The sequence below is a fragment of the Homo sapiens genome, chromosome 22 (genome assembly GCF_000001405.40).
Source record: "Homo sapiens chromosome 22, GRCh38.p14 Primary Assembly".
In the NCBI taxonomy this organism is placed as follows: Eukaryota; Metazoa; Chordata; class Mammalia; order Primates; family Hominidae; genus Homo; species Homo sapiens.
In genome coordinates, this window is record NC_000022.11 from 41,296,697 (window position 1) to 41,322,245 (window position 25,549).

Here is a 25,549-nt window from a genome sequence, read left to right on the forward strand (position 1 = left end):
AACTCAGTCCTTGCAGTGACCCTATATTAGAGTTCTCCAGATAAATAGAATCAGCAGGAGATATATGTACGTATGAGAGAGAGACACACACACAAAGTGATTTATTTTAAGGAATTGGCTCATGTAAGTATGAAGACTGAGAAGTCCTAAGATCTACAGTCAGCAGGCTAGAGAGCCAGGAAGAGCTGATGGTTCAGGTCAAATCCAAAGGCAGGGAAAAAATTAATGTCCCGACTGGGCGCAGTGGCTCAGGCCTATAATCCTAGCACTTTGGGAGGCCGAGGCGGACAGATCACTTGAGATCAGGAGTTCAAGGCCAACCTGGTAAATACGGTGAAAACCGTTACTACCAAAAATACAAACATTAGCCGGGTGTGGTGGCGCATATCTGTAGCCCCAGCTACTTGGAAAGCTGAGGCAGGAGAATCACTTGAACTCCTGGGAGGTGGAGGTTGCAGTGAGCTGAGATAGCACCACTACACTCCTGCCTGGACAACAGAGCAAGACTCCCTCTCAAAAAAAGAAAGCAAAAGTCAATGTCCCAGCTTGAAGGCCATCATGGAGGAGGAATTCTCTCTTCTTTGCAGGAGAGTCAGCTTTTTTGTTCTATTCAGGTCATCAACTGGTTGGATGAGGCCCATCCACCTTAGGGAGGACAATCAGCTTTACTCAGTTTATAGATTTAAATATTAAACTCATCTGGAAACACCCCCACAAAAGCACCCAGAATGTTTGACCAAATATCTGGGCACCCTGTGGCCCAGGCAAGTGGACACATCATGAGCCATCACAGACCCTTTCAGTTGGGTACAGTACTTTTTTTTTTTTTTTCAAGACAACCTCTTGCTCTGTCACCCAGGCTGGAGTGCAGTGATGAAGCCATGGCTCACTGCTGCCTCCACCTTCTTGGCTCAAGGATCCTCCGCTTTGAGGATTCTGGGCTCACCCTCCTGAATAGCTGGGGACTACACACACATCACCACACCTGGCTTTTTTTTTTTTTTTTTTTTTTGAGACCGAGTCTTGCTCTATCGCCCAAGCTGGAGTGCAGTTGTGTGATCTTGGCTCACTCCAACCTCTGCCTCCCAGGTTCAAGCCATCCTCCTGGTTCAGCCTCCAGAGCAGCTGGGACTACAGGTGCACACCACCACGCCCAGCTAATTTTTTTTTTTCTTTTTTTGAGATGGAGTCTCGCTCTTGTCACCCAGGCAGGAGTGCAGTGGAACGATCTCGGCTCACTACAACGTCCGCCTCCTGGGTTCAAGCGTTTCTTGTTACTCAGCCTCAAGTAGCTGGGATCACAGGCGCCCGTGACCACGCCTGGCTGATATTTGTATTTTTAGTAGAGACAAGGTTTCCCCATGTTGGCCAGGCTGGTCTCGAACTCCCTACCTCAGGTGATCCACCCGCCTCTGCCTCCCAAAGTGCTGGGATTACAGGCATGAGCCACCGTGCCTGGCCACGCCCAGCTAATTTTTGTATTTTTAGTAGAGACAGGGTTTCACCATATTGGCTAGGCTGGTCTTGAACTCCTGACCTCGTGACCCACCCGCCTTGGCCTCCCAAAGTGCTGGGATTACAGGCGTGAGCCACAGCGCCTGGCCACACCTGGCTAATTTGTTGTTGTTGTTGTTTTGAGACTGAGTCTCACTCTGTTGCCCAGGCTGGAGTGCAATGGCGCGATCTCGGCTCACTGCAACCTCCACCTCCCAGGTTCAAGCGATTCTCCTGCCTTAGCCTCCTGAGGAGCTGGGATTACAGGTGCGTGCCACCACACCTGGCTCATTTTTGTATTTTTCGTAGAGATGGGGTTTCAACATGTTGGTCAGGCTGGTCTCAAGCTCCTGACCTCAGGTGATCCGCCCACCTTGGCCTCCCAAAATTCTGGGATTACAGGGGTGAGCCACCACGCCCGGCCTCGGCCTCCCAAAGTGCTGGGATTACGGGCATTAGCCACCACGCCCGGCCAATTTTTTGTATTTTTTGCAGAGTTAGGGTTTTGTCATGTTGCCCAGGCTGGTCTCAAACTCCTGGGCTCAAGCGATCTGCCCACCTCGGCCTCCTAGTGTTGGGATTTTGGGTGTACCCCATCGAGTACAGTACTCACATTACCCCCATCTTAGTCACCTCAGGCTGCTATGACAGATACCATGGACTGGATGGCTTAAGCAGTAGAAATTTATTTCTCACTGATCTGGGGGCTGGAAGTCCACGACCAGGGTCCCAGCATGGTCAGGTTGTTGGTGAGGGCCGCCTTCCTGGTTTATAGATGGCTGCTTTCTTGCTGTATCCTCACCTGGCAGAGAGAGATAATCTCCCCAGTGTCTCTTATAAGAGCACTAATTCCATTCATCAGGGCTTCATTTTCATGACCTAATTATCTCCCAAAGGCCCCACCTCCTAATACCATCAAATCAGGGATTAGAGATTCAACATATGAATTTTTTTTTTTTTGAGATGGAGTCTCGCTCTGTCGCCCAGGCTGGAATGCAGTGGCACGATCTCGGCTCACTGTAACCTCTACTTCCCAGGTTCAAGCCATTCTCCTGCCTCAGCCTCCCGAGTAGCTGGGACTACAGGCGCCCGCCACCATGCCTGGCTAATTTTTTGTATTTTTAGTAGAGATGGGGTTTCACCGTGTTAGCTGGGATGGTCTCGATCTCCTGACCTTGTGATCCACCCGCCTCGGCCTCCCAAAGTGCTAGGATTACAGGCCTGAGCCACCGCGCCCGGCCTAATTTTTGTATTTTTTTGTAGAGACAGGGTTTCACTACGTTAGCCGTGCTGGTCTCGAACTCCTAACCTTAGGTGATCCACCTACCTTGGCGTCCCAAAGTGCTAGGATTTCAGATGTGAGCCACCGTGCCGAGCTACAGGGTTTTTGAGAGGGTAAAAGAATCAACATATGCAAAGTGTTTGGCTCATAGTAAAGAAGCGGTGGCTGTTACTGCTATTTCAGCTTTAACATGGGGACATAGAGCACACTGTGACAACATGGGACTGACAACATGGGGCTTCCCAGAAAGCCTACCGATGCCAGCCTCCTGGCCCTTTTCTTTTTCTTTCTTTTTTTGAGACAGAGTCTCACTCTGTCGCCCAGGCTGGAGTGCAGTGGCATGATCCCGGCTCACTGCAAGCTACGCCTCCCGGATTCACGCCATTCTCCTGTCTCAGCCTCCTGTGTAGCTGGGACTACAGGCTCCCGACACCACGCCCAGCTTATTTTTTGTATTTTTAGTAGAGATGGGGTTTCACCGTGTTAGCCAGGATGGTCTCGATCTCCTGACCTCATGATCCGCCCGCCTCAACCTCCCAAAGTGCTGGGATTATAGGCGTGAGCTACCGCGCCCGGCCTCCTCCTGGCCCTTTTCTCCAAAGCATCCTCACCTCTGGTTGGGGTCTTGTAATAAAGACCCCTTTACCATCTTAGGCAGCCCAAACAATTGAACAAGTTGGTACCAACTTGAAGAGATAAGAGGCTGGTGTCCTGCTGAATCCCCCTTGAATGATGGACAGTCCTCTTCAAGAATATGTGTTCATTATTTCACCAGCAACCTGGGGTGGTGGAATCACCAGACCATTTGCCATCTAGTTCACTTGAGGCAAAATGCAGCAATCCAACTGGCCTCAGCATCCTCATCGATGAAATGAGAGTGATAATAACCATGGTGGTAAATGTGATAAGTTGTCAAGGGTGTTTCATTGTAAATTGCCTAGGGGGTATTGGGAACTCACACACACACACACACACACACACACACACACACACACACACACACACACATATATTTCTGGAGACAGTTTTGCTCTTGTTGCCCAGGCTGGAGTGCAATGGCATGATCTTGGCTCACTGCAACCTCCACCTCTGGGGTTCAAGTGATTCTCCTGCCTCAGCCTCCTGAGTAGCTGGGATTACAGGCACCCACCACCACGCCTGGCTAATTTTTGTATTTTTGTAGAGATGGGGTTTCACCACGTTGGCTAGTCTGGTCTTGAACTCCTGACCTCAGGTGATCCACCCGTCTTGGCCTCCCAAAGTGCTGAGATTACAGGCGTGAGCCACTGCACCCAGCCCTGATTGTCAATATCTAATCAGGTTCCTCATTTTCCACCATTCCCCAGGTGATGTCTGATCACCTTGCCCTGCCTTCAGCAAGAATCTTGTTAGATGGGTTTAAGCGAGAATCCTCTCATCTCTGATGCAGTTTCCTATGCACTGGCGCTCAATCAGTGGATCCTTTCTCCTTCCTCATAAATTCCCAGTTGCCCATGCTGATTTCTGAATTGAGCCCAAATACTCTCCCTGACCGCAAAACCCACTGCAGTGGTCCCTACACCCATCATGATGCCAATAAAGTCGGCCTTGTAGTCTTTAACAAGTGTCATTCAATATTTTTTTTAACATCCTATACATAAAACTCCAGCCAAGTGAGGTCCTGATTCTTCTATGTGTCTCCGGTTCCCATCTATGAGAAGGGCACAACGCAACCAGGGTTTTGGGCAGCCTTCCATGAAAGCACCTGGAAGCCGGAGAAGGGGGGCGGGGGGACTTTTGACACAGATGGGGAAGGGCGGAGGCGCTGGGTTTGAGCAGCATCAGCCCAGAAATGCAGAACTGCCAAAAGAAACCCCCCTAAAAGGCAGGACACTTTTAAAGAAAATAAAGGTGAATTCCAGGCATGAGCTTTCGACGGGGAATGGGGCTTCCCCGACTCGCCCCCACGCCCCCCGCCCTTCTCCCCAGGTGCGCAGCCCGCGCCGCCCACCCCGGGCGCGGCGAGGCGACGGGAGCCGAGCTCTCTAGGACCCGAGGAGGAAGAGCTGCAGGGAGACAGTGCCTCCAGCGGGTGCTGCCGCGAGCGGCCAGCCGAGGGGCTGGAAATGAAAGTAAAGCGCTCCAGAGCCACATGGACGGAGCTGCCGGGGCGGCGGCGCCGGGAGCAGGATGCGGCCGCCCGTAATTAAATAGCATTTACTCTTATTATTACTAATAATAATAACGTAATCATACCTCTAGTCATAGCATACCATTTATCGGGCTCGGCGCAGGCCCGCGGGGAGCGCAGCCCGGCGGAGGTGAGTGCTTGGCGCGGCCCGAGCCCCGCGGGGCAGAGGCCGGGGACACTGCGTCCGGAGCCGCCCGCGCGCGAGGGTTCGGGGACGCCCGGGCCGGGCAGGGCTGGGGAAGAGGCGAAGAGAGCCCTTTCCAGGCCGGGGCCGCGCGCCGGGCCACCTGGAAAGTGGGATTTTGCAAAAAATAAATCGTCTCTAAAACCCCATTTGCTCCTTTTTGGGGATCCCGGTCCCCGTGCCCTGCCCCAAAGTTTAAAAGTTACCGTGTGGCCGGGGGCACCTGGCGCTGGGGAGACTTGGCCGCCCCTGCAGCCCCCAGGAGGTGTCTTGAAATTTTCGTGGGGCCTCTCTCTTCGGCGTCCGGAGCTTCTGGGGTGTCCAGATGCTTTGCCGACCCCGCGCAGGGGGTCTCGGGGGCTGGCAGGGGCGTCGCTGGCAGGGCCCCCCTTCCTTTTGTGTTGTCCTTGGCCCCGCAGCACCCGGAGTTGGAGGGGCCGCGGCGAGGGCCGGGGAGCGGGGCCGCCCGACGGGCCGCCCCTTTCGGCTGCGGCGGCCACGCGAGCCCGGGGATCCGGGGCCTGCAGCCGGGCCCGCGGGAAGGGGGCGGCAGGAAAGGGGGGCGCGGTCTGGGCCTGCTGGGCAGGGGGGCGTTTCCGGTCGCAGGATCAGTCTCTGGACTTCGAGGCCTGTGGGAGGCCCGCGGCCGTCCAGGGAGTGCTAGGGGGCTGCGGACCCCGGCTCTGGCGCCTGGGGACGGGGGCGCCCTGACGGGGCTGGGGGCCTGGGAGCCGCCGACTCCGGCCTCATACCCCCATCCTGCCCGCTGCGAACCTCAGGGCCCCCCTCCGGGTTTGCTCCCTCCTCCTTTCCCCTCCTTTCTCCTCAACTCTGTCTGTTTTAGGCGTTTATAAGGCGCCTGGTTGGGGGGACTTTCACAGACAAAGCCGTCTTCCCAGGGGGGAAAATAATCATATAAAAACAGCTCACTCTGATAGAACCTGATGGCTGTATTGCCAACAGGGCATTGACGGGGAAGACTAGGGGGCTAGGGCCCTGCGTGGGGAGTCTGGGGGCTCTAAAAGGGGGCTGGGCCTGAGTGGGGAGCTGGTGATCAGCGGTTTTATTTCTCGGGTTGCTAGCTTTGGCATCAGACTTTGAACCCCAACTTCTTGCCATATTCCTCAGCATCTGCAGTTCAGCCTGATGAAAATAGCAGAATGCAGATCCTTGAATTTTCACACAAATGAGATAATTATAGTACATGTAGCAACTGTGTTGGACACAAAATGCTGGCAGAATCTTTAGTTCTACTACCAATACTTCCTCTACACACATACAGCCATCCCCTCCGTGGTGGTCTTCTTTCCCCGTGTCCACCTCCCACAGAAGTTGGACTGCAAGGTGGAAATGACACCTGGTCAACAGTTGGATGGAGCATGTTTGAGAAGTGGGGAGACTTAAGGTGGGAAGAAAGAACCTGTCCAGGAGGGATGAGATCTGAGGATGGGAGAGAGACTTTGTTGTCCCTGAGCTGGGATAAAGTTTCTGTTCTGTAGATGCTGTGTGTTCTTAGCTGCTGGCTTTTGTATAGGTTAGACAGGAATGGGGGTTTTGGTAGATTATTGTGGGGCTTAGAAGCTTGGTGGGATGTGCTGATCTCTCGAGTCTTAGTAGGAAAGCTGAGATGTCGGTTGAGACATGGATAGAGAATCTGAAAATAATCCCTCAATCTGAAAATAATAATCCCTCAAATATCACTTTTTAGTTTATAACAAAAGGGCTTTCACATGTGTTGGCTCATCTGTCCTCCATAGCAACTGTGTCAGGTAGACATTTTCTAGATAAGAAACCTTAGGCCGAATTGTGTGTCTTGCTGGAAAGTCAGACAGCAGAGGTAGGATTCCCACCCAGTTTTCTGGCTCCAAATCGTCACCCTTTCCCAGAGTCCTGGGCCACCTTAGCAAGTTACTTTTCATTTATTTTATTTTATTTTATTTTACTTTTTTGAGACGGAGTCTCGCTCTGTCGCCCAGGCTGGAGTGCAGTGGCGCGATCTTGGCTCACTGCAAGCTCCGCCTCCCGGGTTCACGCCATTCTCCTGCCTCAGCCTCCTGAGTAGCTGGGACTACAGGCTCCCGCCACTACGCCCAGCTAATTTTTTGTATTTTTAGTAGAGACGGGGTTTCACCGTGTTAGCCAGGATGGTCTTGATCTCCTGACCTCGTGATCCAGCCACTTCGGCCTCCCAAAGTGCTGGGATTACAGGCGTGAGCCACCATGCCCAGCCTTCTTTTTATTTTTTGAGACAAGGTCTCACTCTGTCACCCAGGCTGGAGTACAGTAGCACAATTGTAGCTCAGTCTGCCAGGCTCAGGCAATCCTCCTGCCTTGGCCTCCCAAAGGGATAGGGTTACAGGCATGAGCCACCACACCTGGCTGCTGCAAGTTTCTTTCTTTCTTTCTTTCTTTTTTTTTGACAGAGTCTCACTCTGTTACCCAGGCTGGAGTGCAGTGGCATGATCTTAGGTCACTGCAACCTCTGCCTCCCGGGTTCAAGTGATTCCTGGGCTCAACATATCTGAATTCAAGTGAACTCCTGGGCTCAACATATCTACCCACCTCGGCCTCCCAAAGTGCTGGGATTACAGGCGTGAGCCACCTCATGCCTGTCTGCAAGTTACTTTTCAAGTGCCTCTTGTGAGATGCTGTGGGGCAGGTTTGCAATTGACTTTGTCATTTATTATCTGGCTGGAAAGAGAAAGTTGATTCTAGTGAACCAATGAGAACACAAGAATTCTGGGGTCAGTGCAGTGGGAGTGGAGAGAAGACAGCTCAAGGCTACCTGGAAAAGTTAGAGAAGGCTTCTTCTAGGAAGTAGAATTTGAACTTCAAAGAATGGGGAGGCTTGCCAGGGTGGAGAAGAAGGGAATTTCTGGGTTAGCCACAATTGCTTCTGTGCTGGGAAGTTGACTTACATTCTCTCGAATTGTTATAGTAGCTCCGTGAGGGGTGGGCATTATAATCTCCATTTCACAGATGAAGAAATTGAGGAACACGGGATTTGTGTGCCCAGCCCAAGGTCAATCTGCAGGATTTGAATCCAGGCCTTCTTGACTCTTGAGTGTGCTCCTGCCCTCTGCACCACCTTCCTCTCAGATACGTAAGCAAGAACAGGGACTGTCCTATAATCCCAGCACTTTGGGAAGCCAAGGCGAGCTGATCACTTGAGGTCACGAGTTCGAGACCAGACCTGGCAACATGGTGAAACCCAGTCTCCACTAAAAACACAAAAATTGGCCGGCTGCGGTGGCTCACGCCTGTAATCCCAGCACTTTGGGACGCCGGGGCGGGTGGATCACGAGGTCAAGAGATTGAGACCATCCTGGCCAACATGGTGAAACCCCACCTCTACTAAAAGTACAAAACTTAGCTGGATGTGGCGGTGCATACCTGTAATCGCAGCTACTTGGGAGGCTGAGGCAGGAGAATTGCTTGAACCCAGGAGGCGGAGCTTGCAGTGAGCCGAGCGCTCCACTGCACTCCAGCCTGGGCGACAGAGCAAGACTCTGTCTCAAAAAAAAAAAAAAAAAATTAGCTGGGCATGCTGGTGGGTGCCTGTAATCCTAGCTACTCAGGAGGCTGAGGCAGGAGAATCTCTTGAACCTGGGGGGTGGAGGTTGCAATGAGCCAAGATCACGCCACTGCACTCCAGCCTGGGCAACAGAGTGAAACTCTGTCTCAAAAAAACAAAAATGGAGACTGGATGGTCTGAATTAGCAAATGAAACTGGGGTAGCATTGTCAACAGGCTCCCCAAGACCAAGGAGTTCTCCTAAACTGGCTCTGTATCCCAGGGCCCCGAGGGGCTGGACCAGTGAAAGCACTCTCAGTAGGTTTCTAACTGCAGAAAGCAGAATGGCAGTAGAAGGAGGACCGGTCCCTGAGCGTGGGGATCTGAGCAAGTTTGGTTCCTTAGTGCCTGCTGGGTGCCGGCCCAGCACCCTGGAGGAGCTTAGAGCTTGGGATGAGATAGATATGGACCATTAATCTGAGCTTCCCAAGGACAGGAACTGGGTCTGATTCACCCTCTGTGCCTCCAGCCCCAGAGGCGGTGCCAGGATGACACACTCAGCCATTGTGTTGTCAAATTGAATTATGCCCCAATGTAGAGGAGGAAGGTTTATTTTGCCCAAGAGTAGAAGATCTTCCTAGAAGTGCCATTTGAACATCTGAAAGATAGGTTGAAAAGCCAGAGAAAGGGTGTTCTAAGCAGAGGCATTGAGATGGACAAAGGCAGGGATGTATAAAGAAGAACAGGTCACCTGGTACAGCCACAGTCTAGTGGGCAGATACATGACATTGGGTTCAAGTCAGGCTCTGCCGTCATGATCCTTTCGATTCTCTGGGCCTCAGTTTCCCCTTCTGAAAAGGAGCCCTGAGATTTGATGATATTTAATGATAACCCATGCTTGGGGATCAGGATAAGAAACTCAGATGAAAGGAGCTAGAAGTGTTTAAAAATTTTTATTAATTTAGTAATCACTGAACCAGCAATTCTCTAGGCCCTGTTGCAAGTGCTTTTTCCTAAATTAGCTTATTTAATTCTTTTTTTTTTTTTTTTTGAGACGGAGTTCCACTCTTGTCGCCCAGGCTGGAGTGGGATGGCACGATCTTGGCTCACTGCAACCTCCGCCTCCCGGGTTCAAGTGATCCTCCTGCCTCAGCCTCTCAAGTAGCTGGGATTACAGGTGTCCGCCACCACACCTAATTTTTGTATTTTTAGTAGAGACGGGGTTTTGCCATGTTGGCCAGGCTGGTCTTGAACTCCTGATCTCAAGTGGTCCACCCGCCTGGGCCTCTCAAAGTGCTGGGATTACAGGCGTGAGCCACTGCACCCAGCCTTTATTTAATTCTTTCAACAGCCCTAGAGGGAGGCACTGTAATTATCCCCATTTTACAGGTGAAGAAACTGTGGCATAGAGAGGTTCAGTGAAGTGCAGAAGGGGCAGAGCTGCAGAGCCAACCCAGGATGTCTGGCTCTGGAGCTGGCCTGGTGTGGGCCTGGGAAGGAGCCTCAGGGGAGACCTGAGGTTATTCAGACAGCAGCGGGTGGAGGTGCTGTAGCCCCAGGCTGGAGGCTCAGCCTGGGCTGATGATGGGCTGTGCGTCAGCCCCCAGGAGCCTCCACAGAGGTCAGCTCCTTTCTTTTTTTTTTTTTTTTTTGAGACAGAGTCTCATTCTGTCACCCAGGCTGGAGTGCAGTGGTGCGATCTTGGCTCACTGCAACCTCTGCCTCCCGGGTTCAAGCAATTCTCCTGCCTCAGCCTCCTGAGTAGCTGGGATTACAGGCACGCACCACCACACCTGGCTAATTTTTTTTTGTATTTTTAGTAGAGATGGTGTTTCACCATGTTGGTCAGACTGGTCTTGAACTCCTGACCTCGTGATCCACCCGCCTTGGCCTCCCTACTGCTGGGATTATAGGCATGAGCCCGTGCTGGGCCTGAAGTCGGCTCCTTTCATCACATTTCATGGCCCCTGGAAAACAAGCTCATTTTCCTTCCTCTGTCAGCACCAGCTACAGATTCCTTCTCACCAAATTCATTCCCCCCAGGGAGACTGTTTCTTTGCAGGCATGTTGGTTGTGTTGGTGCCGTGTTGGTTGTGTTGGTGCTGTCTCCCCACCGGGCTATGGAGGCCCAGAGGGAGGGACATTCCTGCATTCAGAGCGCTTGTTCCCTTCAGAAACATCTGGTAACTTCAGTTCTGCAGCATCACAGCTCCTCAGCGTCAGAGGCTGAGACACAAGCTTGGTGGGGATCGTGGGGATACGATCACCCATATAGCAGCACATAACACCCATATAACAGCAGCCCCCATATGGTTAACACCACTGTATACCAGCATCGTGCTTGACATTTCCTATGCCTTCTCTTATTGAATCCACTTAACAGCTCTTCAAGACCAGAGCAATCATTGGCAGCCCCATCTTGTAGATGAGGAGCCTGAGGCTCAGAAAGACTAAGTTAACACTTCTGAGATCACACAGCTGAGGTAGAGAAGGGAGTCAGATGAAGCCACCTGGCATCCGAGGTCTTAGCTGCCATGCAGGAGACAGTCTTCAGGTTACTTCCAGTTTCCTCGAAGCTCTTTTCTTATCAATCTGGAAATCCTAACTACCACCAACATTTGTGTCCTGCTGTGTCCACAGTCTCTCATTAATTGTCATGACAGTCTTTTGAGGTAAGGTAAGAGGTGTCCCTGTTTTTCAGAAGAAAAAGACTGAGGCATCATCACCCACCCACTGCTCTTCCTACCCAGTCCACAATGTGACTTGGGAGGGGAACAGGGTATTGGATTCCCTGAGACCGAGAACCATGTCTTCTGATTGGTTTGTGTTACTGAAGTGCTGGAGTCAGCTGATGATCATTCCTTGAGCACTTCCTGTGAGGGCTGCAGGGAAGGTGGGGGCTCTGGCCCTCCTGGGGTTTTTAGAGGTCGCCCTGGTTCAGCTATGCTCTTGTTCCCTGGAGCATCTCTGTGTCATCCCTCTCCCTCCACAGGCTGAGGAACGCAGGGCAGGGAGCCCAAAGTCCTGAGTTTCATTCCCAACTCCTGTTCATGCTGGCTGTATGATGGAGGCATTATTATTTTGTCATTCTTGGCTTCTGTCTCCTTTTCTGTGAAACGGCCGTACTGATCCTGTCGAATCTGCATCAGGGGTTGTAGTTATGATCATTTAATAGCCTTCAGAATATTCCTGAATCTTCTTCACTGTCTGCCTTGATCCAGGCCTGAACCACTGCAGTAGCCTCCTAACCAATCTCCCAGTATCCTCTCTTGTCATACGTCCTCCCTGCAGTAGCCAAAAGGATCTTCTTGCGAAATAAATAAGCTCCTGTCACTCTTCTGCTGAAAACTCTCCTGCAGTTTCCTGACACACGCAAAACACAGCCCTGGCTCCCGGCATGGCCTGTGAGTGGTTCTGAGACCAGCCTCGCCTGCCCCTTGCACTTTGCCTCCCACGTGGCTTGCCCTTGCTTGGGTGTTGCAGCCACGGTGGCCTTCTGAGTTTTCCTGGAACATTATCAGCTTGTTCCCACCTCAGGGCCATTGCCTGTGCCCTGTCCCCTGCTAGGTAGGTGCCCTCTTACCCCACCTCCTATCTTCCATGGCTGGCTACCTATCTCTCTTAAATGTCAGCTTCCTCCTAAGGGCCTTCCCTAAACTCCCAGTCTGCTTTTTTTTTTTTTTTTTTTTTGAGACGGAGTTTCGCTCTGTCGCCCAGGCTGGAGTGCAGTGGCGCGATCTCGACTCACTGCAAGCTCCGCCTCCCGGGTTCATGCCATTCTCCTGCCTCAGCCTCCCGTGTAGCTGGGACTACAGGCGTGCGCCACCATGCCCGGCTAATTTTTGTATTTTTAGTAGAGACGGGGTTTCACCGTGTTAGCCAGGATGGTCTCGATCTCCTGACCTCGTGATCCGCCCATCTCGGCCTCCCAAAGTGCTGGGATTACAGGCGTGAGCCACCGCGCCCGGCCTGCTTTCTTTTTTTCTTTTTTTGAGACAGAGTCTCGCTCTGTCGTCCAGGCTGGAGTGCAGTGGTGTGATCTCGGCTCACTGCAATCTTGACCTCCTGGGTTCAAGTGATTCTCCTGCCTTAGCCTCCTGAGTAGCTGGGATTACAGGTGCCCACCACTAGGCCCGGCCTAATTTTTGTATTTTTATTAGAGATGGGGTTTCACCATGTTGGCCAGGCTGGTCTTGAACTCCTGGCCTCAAGTGATCTGCCCACCTCAGCCTCCCAAAGTGCTGGGATTACAGGCGTGAACCACCGCATCCGGCCCTAATGTACTTTCCATCACTCCATGCCACGCTTCCTGCTTCAGCTTCCTTGTGACTCTGATCTCTATTTTTACTTGTCGTGTGCATTTCACGCTGGTTTATTTGTCTTCCTGCCCATGGATGACAAGCTGCACCAGGGAAAGGACTTTATTAACTGTGTTCCCCTAGCACCTGGTAGGGCCCCTTGCACTAAAAGTGCTTCATGGTTATTTGTTGAATAAATGAATAATAGTAGGAGGTTGGCCACAGAATAGCCCTTGCCAAACAGCCCACGACTGGGCAGGGAAACTGCAAAGAAATCAACATTGATGGCTGAGCACGGTGGCTCATGCCTATAATCCCAGCACTTTGGGAGGCCGAGGTGAGCGGATCACAAGTTCAGGAGATCGAGACCATCCTGGCTAACACAGTGAAACCCCGTCTCTACTAAAAATACAAAAAATTAGCCAGGCGTGGTGGCGGGCACCTGTAGTCCCAGCTACTCGGGAGGCTGAGGCAGGAGAATGGTGTGAACCCGGGAGGCGGAGCTTACAGTGAGCAGAGATGGCGCCACTGCAGTCCAGCCTGGGCGACAGAGCGAGACTCCGTAAATCAACATTGAGTGATTGAAAACTTACAGGATAATTATGTCTGTTGTGAGTGCTCTCTACAGCACCCAGTTTAGCAGAAACATGAATTTCTGACCCCTTCAGGGGGAGGCACACCAGGTGGAGCTGCAAAATTGTCTTGTCAGGTGTGTATCATCATCCCTGTCTCCCAGATGACAAAACTGAGGCTCAGGGAGGTGCCCTGAAAGCCAGTGTGGGACAGTGCTGGGATCTGAACCCAGGGCTGGTGGATTGCATGGCCTAGCCTGCCTCCCTGTCAGCACAAGGCACGAAAGCAAGCAGAGCAGCACTGGAAACTCTCTTGATGCCCAATGATGCACCACAAGGATTTCCAAGCTCCCTGGGAGCAGGAGCAGTGACTACTTAACTGCTCAAGAGGAACAGGGTATGCCACAGTGTTAGACAGTCACTCTAAGCTCTGGGTGATTCTGGCTTATTTTTTAATTTTATAATTTCCAAATTTTATTTTTTAATTTTATAATTTCCAAATTTATAATTTCCAAAGCTTTTACAATGACCTTCTGTTACTGTTTTAAAAAGGGAGTTTTTTGTTTGTTTGTTTTAATGGAGTCTTGCTCTGTCACCCAGGCTGGAGTGCAGTGGCACTATCTCGGCTCACTGCAGCCTCCGCCTCCTGGGTTCACGCCATTCTCCTGCCTCAGCCTCCCGAGTAGCTGGGACTACAGGTGCCCGCCACCACCCCCGGCTAATTTTTTTGTGTTTTTAGTAGAGAGGGGGTTTCACCGTGTTAGCCAGGATGGTCTCGATCTCCTGACCTCGTGATCTGCCCGCCTCGGCCTCCCAAAGTGCTGGGATTACAGGTGTGAGCCACCGCGCCCAGCCTCACTTTTTTTTTTTTTTTTTTTTAGCCTGCATTCATTCGCGTGTATATGTGCATGTGTGCACATCGGTTTTGAGTGGGGGAGTGACATTGGCATATGCGTTACACAGATATCCCTGACCACTGAATGGGAGCATATTGGAGGGGGTGCATTGGAAACTTGGCAAGAGATGTTGAGGGTCCGAGAGGTGGCCGTGCTTGTGGAGAGGATATGAGGGGTTGCAGGGTGGGGAAATATTTATGAGGTAAAGGTGGCTGAGAACAGGATGATGCTCAGAGCTATGAATAGAGTCAGGGAATAATGGAAGAGGAGTAGGATTAGGGGAGAAGATGCTGAGTTCAGTTTGGAATGTGTTCAGTTGGAGAAACACCCAATCCAGCTGAGATGGCACCAAAGAGGACTTTGGACACAGAGGCATCTAAGCTGGGTCTTAAAGGATGAGTAGGAGTTGGGAAGGTGTGTGTGGCAGAGGGCATTCCAGGTAGAGGGCCCAAGATTAAGAAAGGGATGGAAGTCATAGGCAGCCTGGGTGTTGGACTTCCAGGTACCACTACCCAGAAGATAAGAGATATGAGTCTGAAATACTGGGGAAGGGGGTGGGCCTGGCAGGAGGAAGAGATAGGCGAGTCGTTAACATGACTCATGTTATCATGAAATGCAAGAGCTCATCTGGGGAGCAGGTAGTGAAGAGAGCAGGAGCACTGTCCCTTAAATGGAAGCTCGGGGATGTTGGTCTTGAGACCTGGGCAGAATAAGACGAGCCCCCAACAGAGAAATCTGCTTCGTTTTTTGTTCCTCAACCATGCATGGAGGCATCTCCATGACAATACATATAGATTCAATAGCTGCATTGTATTCCATGGTATGGAATTTAATTAACTAATTTAATTCATTTTAATTAAATTAGTTAATTAAATTAATCCTTTACTGGTAGACATTAAGGTTGCTTCTAGTTTTCCACTTACTCTTAAAAATAATACATCCTCGGGAGGCTGAGGCAGGAGAATGGCGTGAACCCGGGAGGCGGAGCTTGCAGTGAGCCAAGTTCGTGCCACTGCACTCCAGCTTGGGTGACAGAGCGAGACTCCGTCTCAAAAAAAAAAAAAAAAAAAATACATCCTAGCTCGGCGTGGTGGCTCATGCCCGTAATCCCAGTACTTTGGGAGGCTGAGGCGGGCAGATCACCTGAGTCCAGGTGTTCAAGACCAGCCTGGACAACATGGTGATACCCTGTCTCTACAAAAAATACAAAAAATTAGCTGGGCATGATGGCACATTCCTGTAGTCCCAGCTTTTTGGGAGGCTGAGGCTGCAATGAGCTGAGATTATGCCACTGCACTACAGCCTGGGCAACAGAGTGAGACCCTGTCTTAATGATAATAATAATAATAATAATAATAATACGTCCTACACCTGTAGTCCCAGCTACTTGGGGAGGATTACTTTAGCTGAGGAGGTCAAGGCTGAAGTGAGCCACGATGGTGCCACTGCACTCCAGCCTGGGTGATACAGTGAGACCCTGCCTCTAAAATAATAATAATAAATAATAATAATACATCCCTGGCTGGTCATGGTGGCTCACGCCTGTACTCCCAGCACTCTGGGAGGCTGAGGTGGGTAGATTGCTTGAGGCCAGGAATTCGAGACCAGCCTGAGCAATGTGGTGAAACCCTGTCTCTACAAAAAATACAAAAAAAATTAGCCAAGCGTGATGGTGCGTGCCTGTGGTCCCAGCTACTTGGGAGGCTGAGGTGGGAGGATCGCTTGAGCCTGGGAGGTCGAGTTTGAAGTGACCTCCAGCTTAGGCGGCAGAGATCCTGTCTCAAAAACAAAACAATTATAATACATCCTATGCAAATATAATTGAGTACATGTGTAGGGATTTTCATAGATTAAATTCTTGGAAGTGAAATTTCTGTGTCAAAGTGAAAGGACATTTTACCATTTGGAGGAATTTTTGCTGCAAGTAACAGAATTCCTAGCTCAAAATGGGGGTTTGTTTTCTCACATAAAAAATGAGGTGGGGCAGTTCCAGAAGCAGGTAATGTTTTGGGTCAGACTTTTTTTTTTTTTGAGACGGAGTCTCGCTGTGTCGCCCAGGCTGGAGTGCAGTGGCGCGATATCAGCTCACTACAACCTCCGCCTCCCGGGTTCAAGCAATTCTCCTGCCTCAGCCTCCCTAGTAGCTGGGACTACAGGCGCCCGCCACCACGCCAGGCTAATTTTTTTGTATTTTTAGTAGAGATGGGGTTTCACCGTGACGAGGTCTGGATCTCCTGACCTCGTGATCCGCCCACCTTGGCCTCCCAAAGTGTTGGAATTACAGGCGTGAGCCACCGTACCCGGCCAGATGTCACATGCCCTTACCAAAGCCAATCACTGGCAAGGGAAAAAGGCCATTCTGATTGGCTTAGCCCAGTGAAGGTTCACCTGAGTGCCTGGGAAATGGACAACCTTGAAGGAGCAAGAGGGGAAACTGGCTGCTGGGTGCAGCCAGCAGGGCCTGCCTTGCTCATTTTAGTACATGTTGCTAAATTGCTTCTCAAAGATGATTCCAGTTTACACTGTCAGTATACGTACAGGGAGGGCTTGGGAGTGCCAGTTTCTCCATCCTCGTCAACCAGGCTTTCTTTTCACCTTAGTCTCATGGGTGAAAATTGGCATCTTGTGTTTTTTTGTGTTTTTGATTTTGTTTTTGAGACAGAGTCTCTCTCTGTCGCTCAGGCTGGAGTGCAGTGGTGCCATCTCGGCTCACAGCAACTTCCTTCGGTCTTTCGGGTTCAAGCGATTCTCCCGCTTCAGCCTCCCAAGTAGCTGGGACTACAGGCACCCGCCATCATGCCTGGCTAATTTTTTTTTTTTTCGTATTTTTGTAGGGACGGGTTTTCACTATGTTGGCCAGGCTGGTGTTGAACTCCTGACCTCAGGAGATCTGCCCGCCTCAGCCTCCCAAAGTGCTCGGATTATAGGCGTCAGCTACCGCGCCTGTCCGGCATCTTTTTTTAATCAGTGAGTTTGAGTATCTTAATAATTTATTTTCCTGTGAATTTCCTTTTTATGTTTTTTGCCCTTTTTAATTTTTATTTTATTTATTTATTTATTTATTTTTTTGAGATGGAGTCTTGCTCTGTCACCCAGGCTGGAGTGCAGTGTTGCGATCTCAGCTCACTGCAACCTCTGCCTCCCGGGTTCAAGCAATTCTCCTGCCTCAGCCTCCCGAGTAGTTGGGACTATAGGCGAGTGCCACCAAGCCTGGCTACTTTTTGTATTTTTAGTAGAGATGGGGTTTCGCCATGTTGGCCAGGCTGGTCTCGAACTCCTGACCTCAAGTGATCCACCTGCCTCAGCCTCCCAAAGTGCTGGGATTACAGGTGTGAGCCACTGCGCCCAACCTATTTTTTATTTTTGGGATAAGGGTCTCACTGTGTTGCCCAGGCTGGTCTTGAACTCCTGGGATCAAGTGATGCTCCCACTTCGCCTCCCAAAGTGCTGGGATTACAGGCATGAGTCACCATGTGCGGCCCATAATCATCATTATTATTTTTTTATTTTATTTTATTTTTTGAGACGGAGTCTTGCTTTGTCACCCAGGCTGGAGTGCAGTGGCACGATCTCGGCTCACTGCAACCGCTGCCTCATGGGTTCAAGTGATTCTTCTGCCTCAGCCTCCCAAGTAGCTGGGACTACAGGCGTGTGCCACCACACCTGGCTAATTTTTGTATTTTTAGTAGAGACAGGGTTTCACTATATTGGCTAGGCTGGTCTCAAACTCCTGACCTCGTGATCTGCCCGCATCGGCCTCCCAAAGTGCTGGGTTTACAGGCATGAGTCACCATGCCCGGCCAATCATTATTATTACTTAAAAATACAGGCAAGACCCTGTCTCCAAAAAAAATAAATAAATAATAAAAATTTAAAAAATCTGATCCTGGAGGTTTGTTTGGCCTATATGCTTCTTGCTCCTCCACCAGGTGCCTTCTCTGAGTCATGCCTGACACACGCTTTCAAGATGCTCACCTCCCTCTCTTTTTGTTCTTTGAGACAGGGTCTCACTCAGTTGCCCAGGCTGGCCCAGACAGCAGGGAGGCAAGTGAGAGGTGGGCTGGTGAGCCCCGATGTCACAACTGGGGACACCTTCCACACGCACGTGCTAGAGTGCTAGAGTACAAGTGGCACGATCTCGGCTCAGTGCATCCTTGACCTCCTGGGCACAAGCAATCCTTCCAGCACAGCTTCCTGAGTAGATGGGACTACAGGCATGTACCACTATATCCAGCTAATTTCTAGTGTTTTTTTTTTTTTTTTTTGTAGAAATGGAGTCTTGCTATGTTGCCTGGGCTGGTTTTGAACTCCTGGGCTCAAGCGATCCTCCCACCTCAGCCTCCCAATTACAGGTATGAGCCACTAAGCCCAGCCGTACCTCCCTCTTTAACTGAGAATAAATGACCTTTTAACCACTGTGTTAGTCTGCATAGGTTGCCATATCAAAATACCATAGACTGAGTGGCTTAAACAACAGAAATTTATTTCTTTACAGTTTTGGAGACTGGGAGTCCTAGTCAGTGTGCTGGCCTGTTTGATTTTTGGTGAGGGCTCTCTTCCTGGCTTACAGACCTCACTGTGTCCTCACATGGCCTTTCTTTGGTGCATGCAAGGGAGGAAACAGAGGAAGAGCAAGCTTGCTAGTGTCTCTTATAAGGACAGTAATCCTGTTGGATCAGGGCCCTACCCTTATGCCCTCATTTAACCTTAATTACAGGTACTTCTGTATAGGCCCTATCTTCAGATATAGTCACATTAGAGATTAGAGCTTCAGCATATGAATTTGGGGAGGACACAGACATTCAGTCTATAACATTCTACCCTTCATCCCCCCAAATTCACGACCTTATCACATACAAAATACATTCATTCTATCCAAATAGTTTTTTTTTTTTTTTGAGACGGAGTTTCTCCCTTGTTTCTTGTTGCCCAGGCTGGAGTGCAATGGCGCTATCTCGGCTCACCACAACCTCCACCTCCCAGGTTCAAGTGATTCTCCTGCCTCAGCCTCCTGAGTAACTGGGATTATAGGAATGCGCCACCATGTCCAGCTAATTTTGTATTTTTAGTAGAGATGGGGTTTCTCCATGTTGGTCAGGCTGGTCTCAAACTTCCAACCTCAGGTTATCCGCCAACCTTGGCCTCCCAAAGTGCTGGGATTATAGGAGTAAGCCACCATGCCTGGCCATTTTTTTTTTTTTCTTTTTTTGAACAGGGTCTCGCTCTGTTGCCCAGGCTGGAGTGCAGCGGCGTGATCTTGGCTCACTGCAACCTCCGCCTCCCAGGTTCAAGCAATTCTCCAGCATCACCGTCCGGAGAAGCTGGGATTACAGGCGCATGCCATCGCACCCAGCTAATTTTTGTATTTTTAGTAGAGACAGGGTTTCACCATGTTGGCTGGGCTGGTCTCAAACTCCTGACCTCAGGTGATCCACGCACCTTGGCCTCCGAAAGTGCTGGACTTAACAGCTGTAAGCCACCACACCTGGCCTTTTTTTTTTTTTTTTTTTTGAGACAGGGTCTCACTCTGTTGCCCAAGCTGGAGTGCAGTGGCACGATCACGGTTCACTGCAGCCTTAACTTCCTGGGCTCAGTTAGTTGCTCTGTTGCCCAGGCTGTAGTGCAACGGCGCAATCTTGGCTCACTGCAACCTCTGCCTCCCAGGTTCAAGCGATTCTCCTGCCTTAGCCTCCTGAGTAGCTAGGATTACAGGCGTGTGCCACCATGCCCAGCTAATTTTTTTTCTTTTCTTTTTTGAGAAGAGTCTTGCTCTGTCGCCCAGGCTGGGGTGCAGTGGCACAATCTTCGCTCACTACAACCTCTGCCTCCTGGATTCAAGCGATTTTCCTGTCTCAGCCTCCCGAGTAGCTGGGATTACAGGCATGTACCATCACGCCCAACTGACTTAATTTTTGTATTCTTAGTAGAGACAGTGTTTCACCATGTTGGCCAGGCTGGTCTTGACCTCGTTATCCGCCTGCCTCAGCCTCCCAAAGTGCTGGGATTACAGGCGTGAGCCACCGTGCCTGGCCCCCAGCTAATTTTTATATTTTTGGTAGAGATGGGGTTTCACCATGTTGGCCAGGCTGGTCTCGAACTCCTGACCTCAGGTGATCCACCCACCTCGGCCTCCCAAATGCTGAGATTATAGGCATGAGCCACCGTGCCCGGCCAGAAAGACAGTCTTGAATTGCCAATACCATCCTTCCCCCATTCCTGGGCAACAGCCATGTGGTGCAGAGAGAGAATTCATCCAACAAAATATTGAATCATAACCTGATTTAACCTTAATTAGCTCCTTATGGGCCCTGTCTCCAAATATAGGGTTTAGGGCTTCAACATATGAATGGGAGAGGGGGCACAAACGTCCAGGCCGTAACACCCTCCCTATAAGAATTTTCTGGCTGGGCGCAGTGGCTCATGCCTATATTCCCAGCACTGTGGGAGACTCAGGTGGGAGGATTTCTTGAGCCCAGGAGTTCGAGACCAGCCTGGGCAACATGGCAAAACCCCATCTCTAAAAAAAAAATAAAATACAAAAATTAGCCATGTGTGGTGGTCCCAGCTACTCAGGAGGCTGAGGGGGGAAGATCAGTTGAGCCCAGGAGATGGAGGCTGCAGTGAGCCAAGATCACACCACTGCACTCCATCCTGGGCAACAGAGCGAGACCCTATCTCAAAACAAAGAAATTTTTTTCCCAGAGGAGGGAAGGGTGTGGGCTGTTAGGTGCCTGTAGGGCTGGGGCCTTTGGTCTCCTGACGCATTGTTAATCAGGCTGCCTGATGCCCATCTCTGCGGTGTCACTGAACCCAGGATCCAGGCTGACTGCATGGCTTTGAATAACTTTCCTAGCCTCTTGGAGTACTATTTTCCTGCCTGATGGGGATGTTGTGAGATTTAAATAAATCTCAGTTATTTAGTGACAACACATTTTTTTGTAGAGCAAAGCTAGACATAGAGTGGCCCTTTTGTTTAAAAGCTCCTGTGACTCCTCTACCTTAGGGTGGAATCCACAGTCTGCCCCGTCTACAAAACCTCTATGGGCTGGGTGACACACGTGGCTCATGCCTGTCATCCCATCACTTTAGGAGGCTGAGGTGGGAGGATCACTTGAGACCAGGAGTTTAAGACCAGCCTGAGAGGCTGGGCGCGGTGGCTCACGCCTGTAATCCCAGCACTTTGGGAGGCCGAGGCGGGCAGATCACGAGCTCAGGAGATCAAGACCATCCTGGCTAACATGATGAAACCCCATCTCTACTAAAAATACAAAAAATTAGCCGGGTGTGGTGGCAGGCGCCTGTAGTCCCAACTACTCGGGAGGCTGAGGCAGGAGAATGGCGTGAACCTGGGAGGCGGAGCGTGCAGTGAGCCAAGATTGTGCCACTGCACTCCAGCCTGGGCAACAGAGCAAGACTCCGCCTCAAAAAAAAAAAAAAAAAAAGACCAGCCTGGGCAACATAGTGAGACCTTGTCTCTACAAAAAATTTTAAAGGTTAGCGAGGCATGGTGGCGCGCGCCTGTGATCTCAGCTGCTTGGGAGGCTGAAGTGGGAGGATCCCTTGAGCCCAGGAGTTTGAGGCTGCAGTGATCATGCCATTCTGGGCAACAGAGTGAAACCGTCTCAGAAAAGAAAATGAAAATACCTCTACATGTGGTCTTCCTGCTAATCTCTCTGACCTTCCTATTCACCACCCTCCCCACTGCCCACTCTGCTCCATCCTCACCAGCCTCCTTGCACATTCTCAGATACACCAACAAGGCATCTCCCTCAGGACCTTTGCACTCACTGTTCCCTCTGCCCGGAGCCCTTTCCCACCAGGTATCCACAGGGCTGGCTCCCTCACATCATACACGTAGATCTCCATTCAAATGTCAAAGTGAGCCAGGCGCAGTGGCTGATGCCTATAATTCCAGCACTTTGGGAGGCTGAGATGGGTGGATCACTTGAGGTCAGGCGTTTGAGACTAGCCTGGCCAACATGGTGAAACCCCATCTGTACTAAAAATACAAAAAGGCTGGGCACAGTGGCTCACGCCTGTAATCCCAGCACTTTGGGAGGCCAAGGTGGGCAGATCACGAGGTCAGGCGATCGAGACCATCCTGGCTAACACGGTGAAACCCCCTCTCTACTAAAAATACAAAAAATTAGCTAGGCATGGTGGCACGTGCCTGTAGTCCTAGCTACTCAGGAGGCTGAGGCAGAAGAATCGCTTGAACCCGGGAGGTGGAGGTTGCAGTGAGCCAAGATCGCGCCACTGCACTCCAGCCTGGGCGACAGAGCAGAACTCCCTCTCAAAAAAAAACAAAGCAAAAAGTAGCCGGGCATAGTGGCAAGTGCTTATAGTCCCAGCTACTTGGGAGGCTGAAGCACAAGAATCACTTGAAACCGGGAGGTGGAGGTTGGAGTGGGCTGAGATCACACCACTGCACTCCAGCCTGGGCAACAGAGTGAGTCTCCGGCTAAAAAAAAAAAAAAAAAAAAAGGTCAAAGTGGCCTCTCAGACTGCTCAGAATTATAGCACCCTGTCACTCTATCTTATTATTTTTTCTTAATTGCGTGTATCCTTCCTATATTATGTGATATATTTATTGTCGTGTGCCTCTCCACTAGAACATATGCTCTAAAAGAAAGCCTTTGTTGGCTGAGCACAGTGGCTAACGCCTGTAATCCTAGCACTCTGGGGGGCCAAAGCAGGCGGATCACCTGAGGTCAGGAGTTTGAAACCAGCCTGGCCAACATAATGAAACCCTGTCTCTACTAAAAATATGAAAATTATCTGGGTGCGTGGTAGTGCATGCCTGGATTCCCAGCTACTCCAGAGGCTGAGGCAGGAGAATCGCTTGAACCCAGGAGGTGGAGGTTGCAGTGAGCTGAGATTGCATCACTGCACTCCAGTCTGGGCAATAGAGCGAGACTCCATCTCAAAAAAAAAAAAAAATGGGGGGCCGGGCATAGTGACTCATGCCTGTCATCCCCGCACCTTGGGAGGCTGAGGCAGATGAATTACCTGAGGTCAGGTGTTCGAGACCAGCCTGGTCAACATGGCGAAACCTCGTCTCTACTAAAAATACAAAAATTAGCTGGGCATGATGGTGGGCTCCTGTAATCCCAGCTACTCGGGAGGCTGAGGCAAGAGGATCACTTGAACCCAGGAAACGGAGGTTGCAGTGAGCCGAGATGGCGCCATTGCACTCAGCCTGGGTAACAGGGGAGACTCTGTATCCAAAAAAAAAAAAAAAAAGAGTTTTCCCTTGAACTTGAGGGTGTCCATACGGTATTGTAGCTCAAGCCTGTGTGGGAAAGGGCAGGTGCCCTCTATGCCCCCTTGTCCCTTGAGGGTACCACACAATCTAGGAGTCCAGGGGGCCATGGGGGTGGAGGACACTGGCCTGAGGGTGGTCATCGCCCTCAGGGACACGCCTCCCGACATGGGGAAGGGAATGAGAGTGGGAGTGAGAGCACCCAATCACAGGACCCACGAAGTGGTGGTGGCTGACGGCAGCCTGGCTCTTGCTGACTGACTGATGGACTGTGCTCTCTTCCCCAGAGACTGATGGAGAGGCAGAAACGGAAGGCGGACATCGAGAAAGGGCTGCAGTTCATTCAGTAAGCCTGCATGCGGCAGGGGCTGGACGGCTGGGTGGGCAAGGGTGGGTTCTCTGAGAGCCATGCCCTCCCAGCGCTCCCTTTTCTTGCTGCTGAGCCTTTGCTGCCAAGGCTCCTGTGTGCGCTGGGGTGCGGGCAGGTGGGAGGAGCCAGGAAGGGGCTGGTGTGGCTGTGCGTGAACTCCACATGCACACATGCTCCCTGGCCCAGGTTACCCTTCAATCTTGTCCAGTAGGTAATTCTGCCCTCACCCTTCACATTTGCACTCCCTGTTAATTCTCTTGCATGACTGCACGAGTTTTCTGATAAATCAATGGTCCCTCTGTTACAATCTCAGTCTCCGTGCTGGGACCTTCACATCTGTGTCTTCTTTGAGACAGAATCTCTCCTTGTTGCCCTGGCTGGAGTGAATGGTGCTCCTGACCTCCTGGACTCAAGCAATCCTGCCTCCACCTCCCATGTAGCTGGGAGCATAGGTGCACACCACCATACCCAGCTAATTTTTTTTTTTTTTTTTTTTGAGACAGAGTCTTGCCCTGTTGCCCAGGCTGGAGTGCAGTGACATGATCTCGGCTTACTGCAACTTCTGCCTCCTGGGTTCAAGCGATTCTCCTGCCTCAGCCTCTCGAGTAGCTGGGATTTCAGGTGTGTGCCACCATGCCTGGCTAATTTTTGTATTTTTAGTAGAGATGGGGTTTTGCCATGTTGGCCAGGCTGCCTTGAACTCCTGGCCTCAGGTGATCCACCCACCTCGGCCTCCCAAAGTGCTGGGATTACAGGCGTGAGCCACCGCACTAGGCCATTTAAAAAATTTTTTTGTAGAGACGAGGTCTTGCTATGTTGCCCAGGCTGGTCTCAAACTCCTGGGCTCAAGTGATCCTCCTGCCTCAGCCTCCCAAAGTGCTGGGATTACAGACATGAGTCACTGTGCCTGGCCAATCCATCATCTTTTTAATCTTCTCAACAGCCCAGTAAAGTAGGTAGCCTTATTTCCATTTTGCAGATGAGAAAGTTGAGACTCACAGAGGTTAAGCAACTTGTTTAAGGTCATGGAGCTATTGAGGAATAGCATTCTAGCCCAAGCCTGGTTGACCACAAAACTCAAAACTCACATTCTTTTTTTTTTTTTTTTTTTTTTTTTTTTGAGACGGAGTCTCGCTCTGTCGCCCAGGCTGGAGTGCAGTGGCGGGATCTCGGCTCACTGCAAGCTCCGCCTCCCGGGTTCACGCCATTCTCCTGCCTCAGCCTCCCAAGTAGCTGGGACTACAGGCGCCCGCCACTACGCCCGGCTAATTTTTTGTATTTTTAGTAGAGACGGGGTTTCACCGTTTTAGCTGGGATGGTCTCGATCTCCTGACCTCGTGATCCGCCCGCCTCGGCCTCCCAAAGTGCTGGGATTACAGGCGTGAGCCACCGCGCCCGGCCAAAACTCACATTCTTTCTATTGTATGCCTCTGAGCACCCACATGCCACACTTTTTTTTTGTTTGTTTTTGAGATGGAGTCTCACTCTTGTCCAGGCTGGAACGCAGT

General features: G+C 50.9%; 2 protein-coding genes across 3 annotated transcripts in view, besides 6 other annotated features; one reads left to right on the top strand and one right to left on the bottom strand.

The window, feature by feature from the left end:
- The window catches only part of RANGAP1 (Ran GTPase activating protein 1), a 57,591-nt gene extending 51,918 nt beyond the window's left edge, over positions 1–5,673 (bottom strand). The window contains exon 1 of the mRNA NM_001317930.2: positions 5,337–5,673. The gene's annotated coding sequence lies outside the window, so the exon portion shown is untranslated. The remainder of the gene's footprint in view (positions 1–5,336) is intronic.
- Positions 109–403: a silencer, noted in NCBI's record as "tiled region #10804; K562 Repressive non-DNase unmatched - State 23:Low". NCBI's record gives its function as "represses a minimal TATA promoter and a strong SV40 promoter by Sharpr-MPRA in K562 cells {active_cell/tissue: K562}" and the evidence as "EXISTENCE:reporter gene assay evidence [ECO:0000049][PMID:27701403]".
- Positions 4,516–4,855: a silencer, noted in NCBI's record as "silent region_13783". NCBI's record gives its function as "represses an Ori minimal core promoter by ATAC-STARR-seq in GM12878 lymphoblastoid cells {active_cell/tissue: GM12878}" and the evidence as "EXISTENCE:reporter gene assay evidence [ECO:0000049][PMID:35858748]".
- ZC3H7B (zinc finger CCCH-type containing 7B) overlaps positions 4,829–25,549 on the top strand; it is a 58,623-nt gene continuing 37,902 nt past the window's right edge. For both annotated transcript variants that reach the window (XR_007067960.1, NM_017590.6), the window contains exons 1-2: positions 4,829–5,076; positions 23,959–24,017. Coding sequence is in view for 1 of the 2 variants with exons in the window: in NM_017590.6 (NP_060060.3) it covers positions 23,965–24,017 (53 nt within the window). In the remaining variant the exon portion in view is untranslated. The remainder of the gene's footprint in view (positions 5,077–23,958; positions 24,018–25,549) is intronic.
- Positions 4,937–5,438: an enhancer, noted in NCBI's record as "H3K27ac hESC enhancer chr22:41697637-41698138 (GRCh37/hg19 assembly coordinates)". NCBI's record gives its function as "activates a minimal SCP1, AML or CMV promoter by ChIP-STARR-seq in naive H9 embryonic stem cells {active_cell/tissue: H9 hESC(naive)}" and the evidence as "EXISTENCE:reporter gene assay evidence [ECO:0000049][PMID:30033119]".
- Positions 5,136–5,205: a silencer, noted in NCBI's record as "silent region_13784". NCBI's record gives its function as "represses an Ori minimal core promoter by ATAC-STARR-seq in GM12878 lymphoblastoid cells {active_cell/tissue: GM12878}" and the evidence as "EXISTENCE:reporter gene assay evidence [ECO:0000049][PMID:35858748]".
- Positions 11,661–12,162: an enhancer, noted in NCBI's record as "H3K4me1 hESC enhancer chr22:41704361-41704862 (GRCh37/hg19 assembly coordinates)". NCBI's record gives its function as "activates a minimal SCP1, AML or CMV promoter by ChIP-STARR-seq in naive and primed H9 embryonic stem cells {active_cell/tissue: H9 hESC(naive and primed)}" and the evidence as "EXISTENCE:reporter gene assay evidence [ECO:0000049][PMID:30033119]".
- Positions 12,163–12,662: an enhancer, noted in NCBI's record as "H3K4me1 hESC enhancer chr22:41704863-41705362 (GRCh37/hg19 assembly coordinates)". NCBI's record gives its function as "activates a minimal SCP1, AML or CMV promoter by ChIP-STARR-seq in primed H9 embryonic stem cells {active_cell/tissue: H9 hESC(primed)}" and the evidence as "EXISTENCE:reporter gene assay evidence [ECO:0000049][PMID:30033119]".